We start from the raw sequence: 15,819 nt of genomic DNA on the forward strand, positions 1-15,819 counted from the left end.
TTGACCATCTTTTGTTATTTTGCTTTTCATCAGCACTTCTAACAGAGCTAAGAGTTCAGATCAGATGCCTCTAATTTTAATGTGAGCTAAAATCTGTGTTAAAATGTAGACTGCCAGCCTCCACTCCAGACATCGGATTACACTGGTCTAGGGTACAGCCTAGGAATCTGCATTTTATCAAACACTCCAGAGGGTTCCAATGCAGGTGGTCTCTGACTATGCTTTGGCAAACACTGAAGAATCAGATGAGGAACACGGAATTGCTATAATAATTCTGAAGAGAAAGTAATTTTTTAACTTGGGGTAATGGGACAGCTTCACAGAGACAGAGTTTCAACTTTGTAGTTTTCGTTCATTCAGTCACTGAAAAGAAATTATTAGGCATCTGCTATGTATCACATTCTGTACTGGAGCTACAATAGTGAAGAAGCCTGACAGAGTCCTTTGCTAATGAGGCTGAGAGTCTACAAGAGCAGGATTTCGGGAGCAAACAGAGGAACCGTCATAAACAAAGAGGGGATGGGATTAAGGAATATCCAGTACAATGTTGGGCAATGTGGAGAACACAAAAGAAATATATATACATTTAAATCTAAGACTAGAAGGGGTAGGGTGGTACAAAAGAAGTTAGTACAGCTGGAATGGCCAAGTCTTCAATGACAGAGACTGAGGATGGAAACTGGGCAGTGGAGATGGCTGAAGGGAAGTCAGCAGTTATCCCAAGGGCAGTAGAAAGCCCTCCATGGTGTCTAGGCAGGAACATGATATAATTTCAAGATATGGCTCAAGAGGCCCAAGTTATGTTTTGAAAAGGTCATCTTTTTCCTAGAAGGTACATTAACAATGAAGTATACTAGAGATTTTGTGTAAATGTAGAAATGAATATTGAACTGCTTCCAGAACTATGTAGCCAGGCTGACAAACTTTTAATTAAGTCCATCTGGCCGGGGGTGGGGTGGGGAGGGGTGTCTTGTATTCATTTTCTCTTCATCTAGATCTAGCCTCGTCCTTCCACATAATTTGCAGAAAAGGCTCACACATGCATGCGCACAGGCCCAATCCTTTTAAGCTTTTAATTGGGCTTCCATCCACAAACCCCTTTCACTTTTTTTTTTTTTTTGAGAACCAACTCACACATTCTGAATTATTTTGAGTATCTTATCATCTTTAAAGAGAGTGAGAAAGAGAGATTACAGATTTTGTGGTTAATGATTCTTTAAAGAAGAAGGGAAGCTCAAGTCAAGTTTCTTTCCATTTAGAATAGAGCTTTGGGTCCTTTCAGAAATTAACTTCTCTGAGGCTGGACTCGATGGTTCACACCTGTAATCCCAGCAGTTTGGGAGGCCAAGGTGGGAGGATCACTTGAGCCTAGGAGCTCAAGAACAGCCTAGGCAACACAGGGAGACCCCATCTCTACAAAAATAAAAATTAAAATTAAAAAATAATTTGGGGCCAGGTGCGGTGGCTCATGCCTGTAATCCCAGCACTTTGGAAGGCCGAGGTGGGCGGATCACGAGGTCAGGAGATGGAGACCATCCTGGCTAATGCGGTGAAACCCCGTCTCTACTAAAAATACAAAAACATTAGCCGGGCATGGTGGCGTGCGCCTGTAGTCCCAGCTAATCCCGAGGCTGAGGCAGGAGAATGGCATGAACCCGGGAGGCGGAGCTTGCAGTGAGCAGAGATCGGGCCACTGCACTCCAGCCTGGGCGACAGAGTGAGACTCCAACTCCAACAACAACAACAAAATAATAATAATGATAATAATAATAATAATAATTTGGATGTGTTGGTGCATACCTGTGGTCCTAGGTACTCAGGTGGCTGAGATGGGTGGATCACTGAGGCCCAGGAGGTCTAGCTAGGCTGCAGTGAACCATGATTGTGCCACTGCACTCCAGCCTGGGCAACCAAGTGAGAGCCTGTCTCAAAAAGAAAAAAAGAAAAAAAGAAAAAAAAAAAAAGCTTTTCTGAGATAAGATCTTTTCAACTTTATAGTTGAAAAAAACTACATGGACAATAGCCCCCACTTAAGTTATTGGAAGAATCAGGTGAGTTGAGTTACAAGTTGCTTTATTATAGTTCTTGACGCATAACAGCTGCTCATTAAATGTTAGCTTCTAAAGGGTTAAGAATACACATCATTAGGAACAGGATAAAAAAGAATGAGTTGACATTTAATATTTATAGGGTATTGAATCAAGTATTGAATCAAGATCTTTAATTTATTACTGAATACATTTTGCGTGCCTAAAATGACCAGGATACTCTCCAAAAGACAATTTTACAGCATACTGTTTATCTGAATTTTAATGGTAGACTGTAGCAAGAACATGAAGTAGGTCAGTTGAAGAAGATAAGCCTGTAAGGATATAAAGGATGAGAGAAAACCTCAATACAAGTCCAGAGGTGCTGCCGATAGATGAGTTCCCTAGAATTCTAAGTACTACCAAGCATAATGGTTAGTGTATCAACTTTGGGGAGGAGTGGTGAATTTCTGAAAAGCTGCAATCAGCTGAGATAAATATGCAACATCTATTGAGCATATTTCAAGGTTATTCAGAGGCATCAAGAACTGAACACCAGGTGACCTTGGGCAAGTTATGTGTCTCTGAGTTTTGGTTTCCTTATCTGCAAGGCTGATGGGCTAGATAACCTCTAAATGGTTCTTGCAGATATAACAGGATTTGGGGAGGAGAATGGATAATTGAAAGAGTCCAGACTATGCAGTCAGTCAGACTTGGGCTGGAATTCTGCTTCTACCACCCACCAGGCAAAGTACTTAACATCCTTGGGTCCCATTTTCTCCTCTGTAAAATGGAGAAAATAAAATATACATTGTATAGCTATTGAAGGATAAAAAATAACATTTCTAAATTATCTGGCATTTATTAATAATAGACAACTAAATTAAGGGAACACTCAATGTTATTCTATGATCGTGTGTTAAATGCACCTATGGCCAAATTTAAAGTCTAGTTATCACTTTAAAGTCTAGTTATCCGGTAACTGACTAAACGGTGATTCTTCAAATTTCAAAAACATTCCTCGCTTTACAAAAAAGATTCATCTCAGGCTCCTCTTAAAATGTGAGTCAATAATCACCCTGAGCATGAGATAGACTTCTAGGATATTTAGATATATCTACCCACTGTTGAATATGAAGTGTGATATCTTCATTCTCAACAAACCCTTACCAGGGAGGGGTGTGTGTGTGTGTGTGTGTGTGTATGGGTGTGTGTATCCCCTTGTTTGTAAAGCTCAATGCTAAGTGAGGTTTATAAAGTTCTGCGAGGTTTGATTCTCTGCTCTTGAGAAACTGACGATAACTTTTCTCTGTAGGAAGACAGGTACACAATGCCAAAGAACCAAAAGCCTTATTTTGAAAAGAAAAATGAGAGCGACTCCTTCCACAGAATAGTGTGAATTAATTAGTGTTTATAAAGAATTTTGATATGCTTATGCAAAAGGCACTTTGAATGTAAACAGTTTTAAGGGCACTTTGTTGTGTAAGACTAGATTAAGAACAGGGCAGTAATTAGCACGTTGGGAGGCATGAAAAAGTTTTAAAGAAAGCACAAGGCTGGGCACTGTGGCTCACACCTGTAATTCCAGCGCTTTGGGAGGCTGAGGCGAGAGGATCACTTGAGTCTGGGAGTTCAAAACCAGCCTGGGAAATGCAGTGAAACCCATTGAAAAATTTAAAAATTTGCTGGGCATGGTGGCACACGCCTGTGGTCCCAGCTACTTGAGAGGCTGAGGCAGCAGGATCGCTCAAGCCCAGGTCGTCTATAGTGAGCTAGGATCACTATAGTGAGCCAGGCTGCACTCCAGCCTGGGCAGCAGGGCCAGGCCCTGTCTCTAAAAAAAAAATAGTTAAAAAAAAACACATCATATTGCTACAAAGACAATATGTAAAACCCACTGCAATTGTTACATAAAAGAATGCTCCTAGAGTAGATTTTGTGCAGATGATAAGCCAGGTAAAATCTGGAAATACAATTTCTTCTTTTTAGTTCAGGGAAAGCCAGGTTCCTCAGTATAAGTAAATCTTAAATAAGTTTTTAAAAATACCAAATCAATTTAAAGTGCTAACAGCCTTACCAGGATGTAAATTCTTAAACAATTAGCTTCATTCCCAACAGGATCAAACACAAGCACACAGCCAAGACAGTTTAGCTCCTAAGCTTGGTGCGTTCAAAGAGAATCTTGACTTGAGCTGAGTGTGATCTCCAGATGCAATACAACCCTTCTACACACAGATCCATGGGAAAGCATTTTCTGGAAACAGATGCACCTTGTTTAAAACCAAAGTTGTGTTTCTGAAGAAAGCTGGGTACAAATAGAATTTTTAAAAATTGAATCATATTTTAAATGCCCTGGGGATGCTCATATCACAGGGAACCCTCTTATGAATGATTCTGCAAGAGAAGAATTATTTTATGAATTGAAAAAGCACCTCTAATTTATTTGCTGCACTGATTTTTTGAATTTTGTTTTCAAAATTCAAAAAAATTTTGAAATTATGTGCTAATTATGTGCTTGCCTTTTGTGGCTTATTCCGAATATCTTAACAAAGAAACACTATTTTTTTTTCTCTTTGAATGTTTGATTTTGAAATATTTGCTTTTAATATAGTCTTTTCATATAGTCTAATTCCTCTCACTCCCTACCCCCACCCCATGGGTATAATTCCATTTTTGAAGTGGAAGCCAATGAGATAACTGAATTGAATGTACTGGAACTTATTTTATGGTCAAATTTTAGGAACGCATCTGTTATACTTGGTAGGGAATATAGATTCTATTAGATCTAAACAGAATGAAAGGGAGCCGGGGCATGGTGTCTCTATTTGCTGTTGAACAGCTGATATAAAAGGAATTGAAGCAGGCCATGTACGGTGGCTCACGCCTGTAATCCCAGCACTTTGGGAGGCCGAGGCAGGCAGATCACCTGAGGTAAGGAGTTCGAGACCAGCCTGACCAATATGATGAAACTCCATCTCTACTAAAAATACAAAAATTAGCCAGGTGTGGTTGCATGCGCCTGTAATCCCAGCTACTCAGGAGGCTAAGATAGGAGAATCGCTTGAACCTGGGAGGCGGAGGTTGCAGTGAGCTGAGATTGCGCCATTGCACTCTAGCCTGGGCAATAAGCTCGAAACTCCATCTCAAAAAAAAAAAAAAAAAAAGGGGGGGCGGGGGGCAATTGAAGCAATGAGTGTAAACACCTTGGCTCTGTAGCTGACCCTATCAGGTGGGGAAGAACAGAGCAAGATCAGAAGTATGCTTCTATTCACAAAATCTTCTATAGACATGTTTGATTCAACTCCAAGACACCAAGTTAACTTTCAGCAGAGGTTCCCAAATTTTCTTGATTCATGAATCTCCCACGTAGTGGGAGAGTGATTAATCTCCCACTATGGTGGTGTCTTTAGGCCAAAAGAAATACCTAACAGTTAACTTATTAAGTACCTACGTTCAAACAACTACTAAGGAGCTGTCCTAATAACTTGGTAGCAGTTTGAAAAAAATAATACTTATAAATTGAAAGAAAAAAGGTATATTTTTATTTCATTCTTAACCACAACTACTCACTAAAGTATGCGTACACCTTTCGGGTATGCACAACTTCTCAAATCTTGGAATCATATTGGATAGAGTTGCCTTCATTTCCCATACCAAATTGTTGCCATGCAGTACTTGCTTTGTATCAAGTTAACCTCCAAAAACCCAACCTTAGAAAGATATGACATCGTCAAAAGGAATGTAGCGCCATCTAATGTTGAAGCTGTGAACTACCTCAATCTAGTAATGCACTGGGTACTTGACAGATACCAAACATTGCTGTGTTTTCCTCTAAAATTTAAAACATCCCCTATGAGTTGACTGTGGTACCCTTGGGTGCCCTGGTATACAGTTTGGGAACTACAAGTTTAAATAAAGACAAGTAGACTTTCCATTTTCCTGAATGACTGAACAATGTCATAACACTTCAATACCTGCTCAGTATACATATAACACACACAGAGGAAATCTATACTTGCTTCTACACACATCTTATACCTAGTTAAAAGCACTGTCATTCCAGGTTAGGTTACAATTTTAAAGGCAATACTTTTATGGCAGTACCTACCCAAATGCATTTTTAAACTGTATTCCATTAAATTTCACCTTTGCTTTCACAATTTTGTATCTGGCATGTGATTCCATTTAGGTTATACTAGGAAAAAACATTTTTATTTTCTCAAATAACTAACGTTTTGTGTTGTAATAAAACCTAATGTCTAGTACCAACAATGTCATGGACTCTACCATGTTAGATGCCCATCCATCTCAAATGTGTAAGATATCACATATTTAGGCACAATGGCTGTACAGTATTGGTACATTGCATGAAAAGGTCACAGGCCAGCCACAGTGGCTCACGCCTGTAATCTCAGCACTTTGGGAGGCCGAGGTGGGTCGGGAGTTTGAGACCAGCCAGACCAACATGGAGAAACCCTGTCTCTACTAAAAATATAAAATTAGCTGGGCGTAGTGGCGCATGCCTGTAATCCCAGCTACTCAGGAGGCTGAGGCAGAAGAATCGCTTGAACCCGGGAGGTGGAAGTTGCTGTGAGCCAAGATGGCGCCATTGCACTCTGGCCCGGGCAACAAGAGTAAAACTCCTTCTCAAAAAAAAAAAGAAGTTAAAAAATGTGGCCATTTCTTTGTGGAAAAAAAGATATTAAAAGCACTAATTTAGGATGATGTTAAGTAGAAATGTGTCATTTCACCTGATACACATTTTCGTCTAGGAAACACAGTGCAGATTGTTAATGATAGAATAATCCCACTCCTAGTCGTTAGCCTTGGAACCAAACTGTTAACTCTCTTCTTTCCTTTGAGCATAGCCTATTTATTTCTATTTGCTGTTGAGGATAAACCACTGATTGAGTCATAGAATGCAGTTTTGGGCTGGGCATGGTAGCTCGTGCCTGTAATCCTAGCCTTTGTGAGGCTGAGGCAGGAAGATCCCTTGGGCCCAGGGTTCAAGACCAGCCTGGGCAACATAGGAGACCCTGTCTCTAAAAAATAAAGAAGGAATGATGAAGATAATGATGATGATGACAGTTTTGCAATCATCTCACAATTTCCTTTTCTATCTTTGAAATCAAACTCTGTCCTTACATTGCCTATTTCAACTTTCTGCACCTTTTACCTTGCCTATTTCAGCTTTCTGCATGTTTACCTCATATTGCTTTTGCCCTGGGGTTCTCCTCCCTCCTTAGAGTTTTATCTGTCTGTGCACTTTCTTTCCTCTCTCTGCTACTTTGCAAAAGCCTCCCACACAATTCTAGGTAATAGCAATTTAACAACATGCCCTCAGGTGGAATAATCAGCCATCATGATTAGTTAGAGTCAGGTCCTGGCTGAATCTGGGATTAGGGATGGGTGTCTCCTCAGGACCAAGGCAGTCTAGTCTCAGAAGAATAGAATTAAAGGGAAAATTCCAGTTTCATTAAGTGTGGCATTTTTTAATCAGCAAGTCACAGAACCTTATTACCAACATGTATTAAAATGAACTCCATTTTAATGGCAGTGTGTCCATTGTCAAGATATTTGTGGTTCACTATGGCAAGTAAGTTCATGCGTCCTAACCCAATCCAGTGGGGGTAAATGAATGAGCTGAAAGAGACTGGAATAACCACGTTGATAAGGATATCACAATGTAATTACTGAAAAGATGCCACTTTGGGACCCTTGCTCTTTTCTTTAACAGATTGGTATTTTGTTACTTTTAAACATTCCGTCATATAGTATTCCACCTGAAGAATATTTTAGCTCATATAATGACATTTAAGAAAAATATAGCAAAAAACCTAGAAGCCTTCTCCAGTGCCAAACTCATTTAGAAAGTTTAGCTTCTGACTAATGCAATGATGCAATGTAATACTACCAAATTCTTTCATCATATTTAGGAGTAAGTGATTACTTGTGGAAACTGTAATGTTTCCTAACAAACCGAGTGTTTCAGGGACAGACCACCCAAATGTATTATTATATAAAGATGTCAGTTACATAATTACATGAGAAAACAACACATTTTACTTTTTTGTTTTTTAACAACAATTATCCTCTCTGGGGAAGAGAGGCTGAATTAGCTGCTTAGCAAAGTGGCTCCTAGGGGCTCCAATTAACTTAGACACATTTAAACTGGATCCTTGATAATGTACATTTAACATGAGGAAAATGAAATTGTATTTTCTTCCTCCCAATCCCTAACTCCTGCCATGTCTGAACTGACTTTGCTGAGACCACCAACAGTGAAGATGCATTTAAAAACTGCAACTCACATCTAAATGTAGGCCATATACCAGCTGCCTTGTTTTAAAATTTTTTTTAAATTATTTTGAAAGTCCTATGCCATTAATATTAATATTAGAGCCATTTAAATGAAAACACACAAACCTCAAATCAACACTTATTTTTCTTTCTTTTTATATGGACAGGGGTCTCACTATGTTGCTGAGGCTGGTCTCAAACTCCTGTCTTCAAGCAATCCTCCCACCTCAGTCTCCCAAAGTACTGGAATTACAGGCATAAGCCACCGTACCTGGTCTAAACATCTACTTTTCTTAATGGGTGCCAAGACATTCTTTAAAAGTAACTGGGAGGCTGGGCGCGGTGGCTCATGCCTGTAATCCCAGCACTTTGGGAGGCCGAGGCAGGCAGATCACGAGGTCAGGAATTCAAGACCAGCCTGGCCAAGATGGTGAAACCCCATCTCTACTAAAAATACAAAAATTAGCTGGGCATGGTGGTGGGTGACTGTAATCCCAGCTACTCAGGAGGCTGAGGCAGAGAATTGCTTGAACCCGGGAAGTGGAGGTTGCTCCGAGCCGAGATTGTGCCACTGCACACCTGGGAGACAGAGCGAGACTCCGTCACAAAAAAAAAAAAAAAAAAAAAAAAGCAATTGGGGATTTTTTTAAATGATGTGAGTGTGCAGTTGCATTTAATTCAAATAATATTTTATAAACATTTGTCTACATTAGGGGTGTGCAATAAATGATTTTAAAAATGACTATACTGCTTATGTATAAAACAGAAATATGTTTTAAATATTTGATGCCTCACTACTCATAATTCTCAGTATTTTGGCAGACACTTATTGAGTGTCCAATGTCAGAAAACAGTTACACTACTAAGGTCCAAATAAGCAAAATAGCTATAGATTACTCATCTTCAAGAGTAGTTTATCATAGTTTATCAGTAAGAAAATTTGGCAAAGGAAGAGTACATTTTCATTAAAATGCTCAGTGTTTCAATGAGGATGCTCCTGGCATTTAAGATATGATAATTCTCCCTTTTCGGGGGTTGGCCTTGTCCTGGCATTCCTGGCCCCTGCCCACAAAATGCTAGCAGTGACCCCAGTTATAGTGATAATCAGAATATTCCCATACGTTCCCCAAAGTCCCCTAGGCAAAAAAGTACTTTCTCCAGTTGGAAACCACTGACCCAAAGAGTCTCTAGCTTAAAACAGAAACAAAAACAGAATAAGGGTGAAATGTGCTAAAGCTTCATTATGTGGTTTTAAAAAGCAGGGGTGGTTGAGTGTTCCTTAATAACTGTATATAACTTTACTTCCTTGTCTTTCAGTTTATTTGTAAAAGGTTTGTCTCCTGGGGGTTCATACATTATCAATAATTCTCATTGGCTTCTTCAGAGGAGGATGTTCAGGCAGATGTTCAGGAGAATGTTCAGCTAGATGGGTGAGCAAAAAACCCAGTTTTCTTAAACTTTTAGTTAAACTCAGCTCTGCCGCCTAGCTGGGGACAATGGCAAGGGAAATCAGATTGCAGACTAGTGTCTCCTGGGACTAATCTGACATTTATGAGGGGAGCCTCTGGTTGACGAAATGCGAGTACCAGAACAGAGCTGATGCATGTGTGATCATACTCAACATTAGAACACCCCTTCAGGCTGGGTGCAGTGGCTCACACCTGTAATCCCAACACTTTGGGAGACTGAGGCGGGTAGATCATCTGAGGTCTGGAGTTCAAGACCAGCTTTGCCAGCATGGCAAAACTCCGTCTCCACTAAAAATACAAAAATTAGCTGGGCACGGTGGTGCACATCTGTAATCCCAGCTACTTGGGAGGCTGAAGCACGAGAATTGCTTGAACCCGGGAGGCGGAGGTTGCAGTGCGCTGAGATCGCACCACTGCACTCCAGCCTGGGTGACAGAGTGAGACTGTCTCATAAAAAAAAAAAAAAAAAAAAAAAGAGAACACCCCTTCAGCTTGTGACAAGCAGCTAACATCTAGGTCTATATGACAAATGTTTTTCTTTTGCTACCTAAAAATAGGTTTCTGAGGCTGGTTAGGTGAAAGTCCCCTAGGTAGGAATGGTATTGTCTCTAGTTAGAGACTACTGATCCAAAGAGACCCTAGATAAAAAGAGAATAATGGTAGGCTAACACCTTACACCTGTACCTTACGCCTGAAGGCAGAAGGGAGCAGGAGCACTGGGATGGACACAGGCTCAACATATCTAAAATTATAATCTTCCTATTTTTACAGATGGGAAGAAAGAGTTCAGAGATGTGGGATGACTTGCAGACATTCTGTGCAGTTTAATAAACCTTCCTTCTCCTGTATCGTACAGCAAGATCTCTTTCCAACATTACTACCTCAATAGGGTGAAGAATACATTTCTCATCTACCATTTGACAAATTTATGCTGAAATGCAATTCGTTTGCTGAACCTTGGAAAACAACTCAACAAAGTTCTGTCCTTTACATTATAAATCCAGTTCACAAAAACCTTTCAAACTTTTTTCTCCAAATAATCTGTCTTCTTCTTTATGTCCTGAGCTCAGAAGAGTTCCCTAATCTGAGCTCCTCAACTCTGGGCTCGTCGTTCTTCATTTCTTGATATGTGCCCACTGCTAAGAGTTGTCTTTGTTTATCACTCTAGCCACAGCATTCAAAATCTCCAAGCAGTAGACAGTCTCTCTGCTGCCCTATCAATCTCTTTTCCTGACTATTTCTTAAAAACCAAATTAAGGGTACCTTTTATTTCCTGATGAATAGCAGGCCTTCCCACACCACTTCTTGTTTCACTCTCCCTAAATCCTCATCACCTGATAATTTTCAATAATGATCCAAATGGCAACAGACTACATCATCTCAGCACCATAGCATGAGAGAATGAAAGGGACCTTGGAGGTCATTTGATTAACTGGATAAAAAGTGTTCTCTAAGAAACTTTTCAGATTCTTCAGTGGGCATCCAGGAGCAGGATGAAGGAGGTGAATGGGGAAGGGGGCAGCAAGCAGAATTTATGGTCCTCACCTCCAATTTAGCCAGAACAATTCCACTTTAATCTGTTTCTCTAATTATGCTAAGTACAATTTTATTTTAAAAAGAAAATAAAAAGAGGGACGCTTTGGAAATCTCCACTTAAAAAAAAGAAATGTAAAACCACTAATCTATTTCCCACCATGCTGAGTCCTTTAAAAAGAGCCTGATGTAAACTTTGCAAAAATTTGTGATTAGCAAAGGGTCTTTAAAATGCCTAGTCTCTTAGTAATCATAATCCCTCACCTTAAACACTGGCCTGCACCACCAAGAAAAGAGAAAATGTGATTTACTGATGGATGTGCTGGGAGAGGAAGAAAGAGACTCATGTTTGACTGCTGATTTTCCCATTAGCTAGCTGCTAAGCCACTTAACCTCCTCATGCCTCAGTTTCCTTGCCTGCAGAATGAGAGCTGGGCTCTACTCAGGCATTTTCTAGCTCCAAAATTCTGGGTTCTATGAACCAGATTTTTGTGAGGGGGACTGAGCCCTATTTCTCTCGCTTTTCCCATCTCTTGAATAATGTATCGTTCTTTTCCAAAGGAGAAGTGTCCAGGGACATCAGGAAAAAAAAAAAAAAAAAAGCTTTTATCCAATCTAACACCAGGACTAATGGAATGTTTACAGACAGACTGGCTGGCCTCAGCCCTTTAGTTTCTCCCCTTTTATCTTTCTAATCCTCCTTTCAATGTGTCACCCCTCACATCTCTTTCCTTCCTTCTTAGCTCCGCTCAAATTTAGCATACCTTTAAGTGGCTACTGTATACAAGGCACTGCGGTTCAGCACTTGGGTTATATAAAGATGAATAAGGCACAGCCCTGCACAGAAAGGGACTTCTGTAAGGAGGACAACTCTGGCAGAAACATAAAGGGAAGGTTAGAGATGCAAAAGAATAAAAGTGGAATATTTACATAAGAGATGAGGGCATGAAAAGTCTTTGAGAACTAACTGGGAGGTGGGAGAGAAGCCGTTCAATATTAATTCAGTGAATCAATCAGCTTGTTACTTACTGAGCTGTGTTCCAGGCACTGTACTACATGCAGCAGTTACAAAATGAAAAGGCCTGGTCCCTGCTTATGGTCTAAAAAGGAGAGACAGACATGGGAATTGGGTTTGGTGCCAATGAGAACCAGGGCAACACCAACCAAAAGAGGGATGTCCCAAATAGCAGACATGAGTGGGAGGAGACAGAATAAGTAAACTCCCACTGGAATAAGGAATTTATTTAACATGACGATGCTGAAGGGATGTGGGGGCTAATGGGGCATTGGTGCATTCACATTAAGCACACTCAGAGTAACATTTGGATCTGGAGTCAGAAGACAGAGACATCAACACTGAGATGCTGTCAAGAGTGGGGCCAGGAAGTGGAAGAAATCTCCTAGGTAGAAAGAACAGAGAATAAAGAGAAGGCTGTAGGACCAACATTCGGTAAGTGTCTATACTCAAGGAATAGAGAGGAAAAGAAAACTGAGTGAAGAAGACAGTGAAAGGAAATGTAGGAAAACAAGTAGGCATGTGCAATGCTAAAATAAGCTCAGGAAGAAGGGAACTTCAAACAAAAAGAAATGTTCAAAAATAAGTGGAAGGCCGGGCGTGGTGGCTCATGCCTGTAATCCCAGCACTTTGGGAGGCCGAGGCAGGTGGATCACCTGAGGTCGGCAGTTCAAGACCAGCCTGGCCAACATGGTGAAATCCCGTTCCTGCTAAAAATACAAAAAATTAGCCAGGTATGGTGGTGCGGGCCTGTAATCCCAGCCACTTGGGAGGCTGAGGCACGGAGAATCACTTGAACCCGGGAGGTGGAGGGTGCAGTGAGCCAAGATCGTGCCACTGCACTCCAACTTGTGCAACAAGAGTGAAACTTCATTTCAAAAAAATAAAAATAAAAATAAATAAATAAATACATAAAGGCTGGGTGCGGTGGCTCACACCTGTAATCCCAGCACTTTGGGAGGCCAAGGTGGGCGGATCACCTGAAGTTGGGAGTTCGAGACCAGCCCGACCAACATGGAGAAAACCCCATCTCTACATGGGCGTGGTGGCACATGCCTGTAATCTCAGCTACTCAGGAGGCTGAGGCAGGAGAATCTCCTGAACCGGGAGGTGGAGGTTGCAGTGAGCCAAGATCACGCCATTGCACTCCAGCCTGGGCAATAAAAGTGAAACTCTGTCTCAAAAATAAAATAAAATAAAAATAAAAATAAGGAAAAAAATAAGGGAAAAAAAGGAAGCAGAGAAGGGTGGGGTATAGTAGACAGAAAAAATGTCATAAAATTTAGCAGCTAGTTAATAAAAGGCTTTTGAGACAGCAGTTTCACTCATATCTATATTGAGTCCATGAGGGTCTTCCTTAGAAAAAATTAGCAAAAAAGAAAAGCTACACTGCAGACTGATGTATTATGGATTCAAAGAACACTCTTTTCTTTTCCTCTAGTTTTTTTAAGTTTGGAGGAGGCTCCAGCAAGGCTTTTAGGCCAAGGAAAAGAAATGAATCTGCTACAGATTCTCTCCCCTGACTATTGTCCAACAAAAAACAAAAACACCAACTCTATGTTAGAAGTTTTCAATCTTTTGAAAACCTTTCTTCTGGTCACTAGCTGCATGTGAGGGTGGTAATCTACATAAATAAATGGACATCACGTCTGCCTGCAATAACGCCTGGATAGACTCTCACCACAACTAGGGTACATCTGGAATAATCAGTGAAATTATACTGAGTGAGGCAAACAGCTACCCTTCAGAAGGGTTGAAACTGAGGAAAAAGGAGAGAATGATGTAACAACTGATGTAGAAAGATGTGTCATAAATATTAAGCCACCTTGGGTACCAAAACCCTGGATGGCAAATCCTGCACTAAAGTTTAACAAATGACCCAGCCTGTCTCTGCGGTACATATAGTATCACTATATTTCTCCAAGTCTGATACTTCCTCTGAGTTTTTCATACCCTAGTCTCTGTCTTCCCTTATAAGAAATAATCCCTGTCCCTAATTCCTAACCAAAAAAAGGGAAATAAATAAAACATATACCTAACAAAACATATCCATTTTGATCTGTACAAACTTGTTCAAATTTCTCTATATAAACCCTTCCTTGAAAAAAGGTTTAGTGCTGACATATTAGATTTCACAGGAATCACCCCTGTACCCAGGGCTGGCCTCATGAGTGTGTGAGCCACTGTGCAGTCGCCTAAGACCCCACTTTCAAAAGGGGCCCAGGCTCAGAAGGGCTCTGGGCTTAGTTTAGTACTCTGCTGTTACTATCTTGAAATTCTTAATAATTTTATCTCTGAATTTGTGTTTTGTAAGTGAAGTCGGATGAGCAGAGGATAAAACTTTATATTTTAGTACTTTTAATGGTACTTTTTGCCCGACTTTGAACAATGGAATTTTTGTTTTGCACTATGCCCTGCAAATTATGTAGCCAGCCCTGCCTGCAACCCTCTCCCCCAGAAATGGGTTGTGTGTGCTTAGGTACTAGACTCAGTAATCCACCCTCCCTTTTATTCATTTCCTTGCATTATGTACCTTAATACATTATACACACCTTTGAGGGGAGAGCCACTATCTTTTCCATCTCTTTATCACAAGCTCCCCATATCCTAGTGCCTAACAGAGTGCTAAGGATGCAGAAGGTACTTGATAAATATTTGTAAAGTCAATACCCCACTCTAGTTAGACAATTCTCAACTACTCCATGATGACCACCACTGAACCTTTTCAAAACTTCAAAATCTATCTGGTTTCCAGAACATTATAAAGTATCAATCTCCTTATTCTATGGAAAGCTACAAAAATAATGACCTCTCCTTTTAGGCTTGTAAAGAAACAACATTTCATACTAATACAACAATGATAAGTGTATTAGGTTTGTTTTTAAGGGCTTTATTTTCTTTTAACTTTTTGTTAAATCTGAGCATCAAAGCATTTTTTGAAAGTTTACTGTTCCAGCATCTTAGATCCCTAAAGATGGCAACTCAACTAACTTTTCCTAAGGGTTGAATGCTGCTTCATGCAATGCTTAATTTGAGTCAACAATGGCTGAAGGAACATCCTTAAATGCTTATCTCAAGAGGAGCAAATGTAGCTACTGGCCTCTGGCAATCCAAAGGAAAATAACTGAGGTCAAGTTCTGTCTTAAATTCTCAGTACCATTACACCTTGTACTATTGCTAGATTCTCGTGTTGGCCCATTTTAGGCTCTTTATAATGATATGATTTATATCTCATGACTCAAATTCATTACAGATGGACCATACCCAAGATAAATGCCACAAGGCACAAACAACTCTTCATCTACTCCACAGCTTCCAATGGTTGGAGTCACTGGACGCTAAAAAATCACTTATATGAAAAATATGGATTGAATTGGTTACGTATCTTACAAGACTTCAGGTTCAACAGTTTTCTTTTTCCCATTTTGGCAAGCATAGATAGAGAACTCAGAAATGTGTCCTTGGCTACTAAGAG

General features: G+C 40.2%; 1 protein-coding gene across 9 annotated transcripts in view; it reads right to left on the bottom strand.

Moving 5' to 3' along the window:
- ARL15 (ARF like GTPase 15) overlaps window positions 1-15,819 on the bottom strand; it is a 426,632-nt gene that overhangs the window by 102,429 nt on the left and 308,384 nt on the right. The gene's annotated exons all lie outside the window — the stretch shown is intronic.

This window comes from Homo sapiens, chromosome 5 (genome assembly GCF_000001405.40).
Source record: "Homo sapiens chromosome 5, GRCh38.p14 Primary Assembly".
In the NCBI taxonomy this organism is placed as follows: domain Eukaryota; kingdom Metazoa; phylum Chordata; class Mammalia; order Primates; family Hominidae; genus Homo; species Homo sapiens.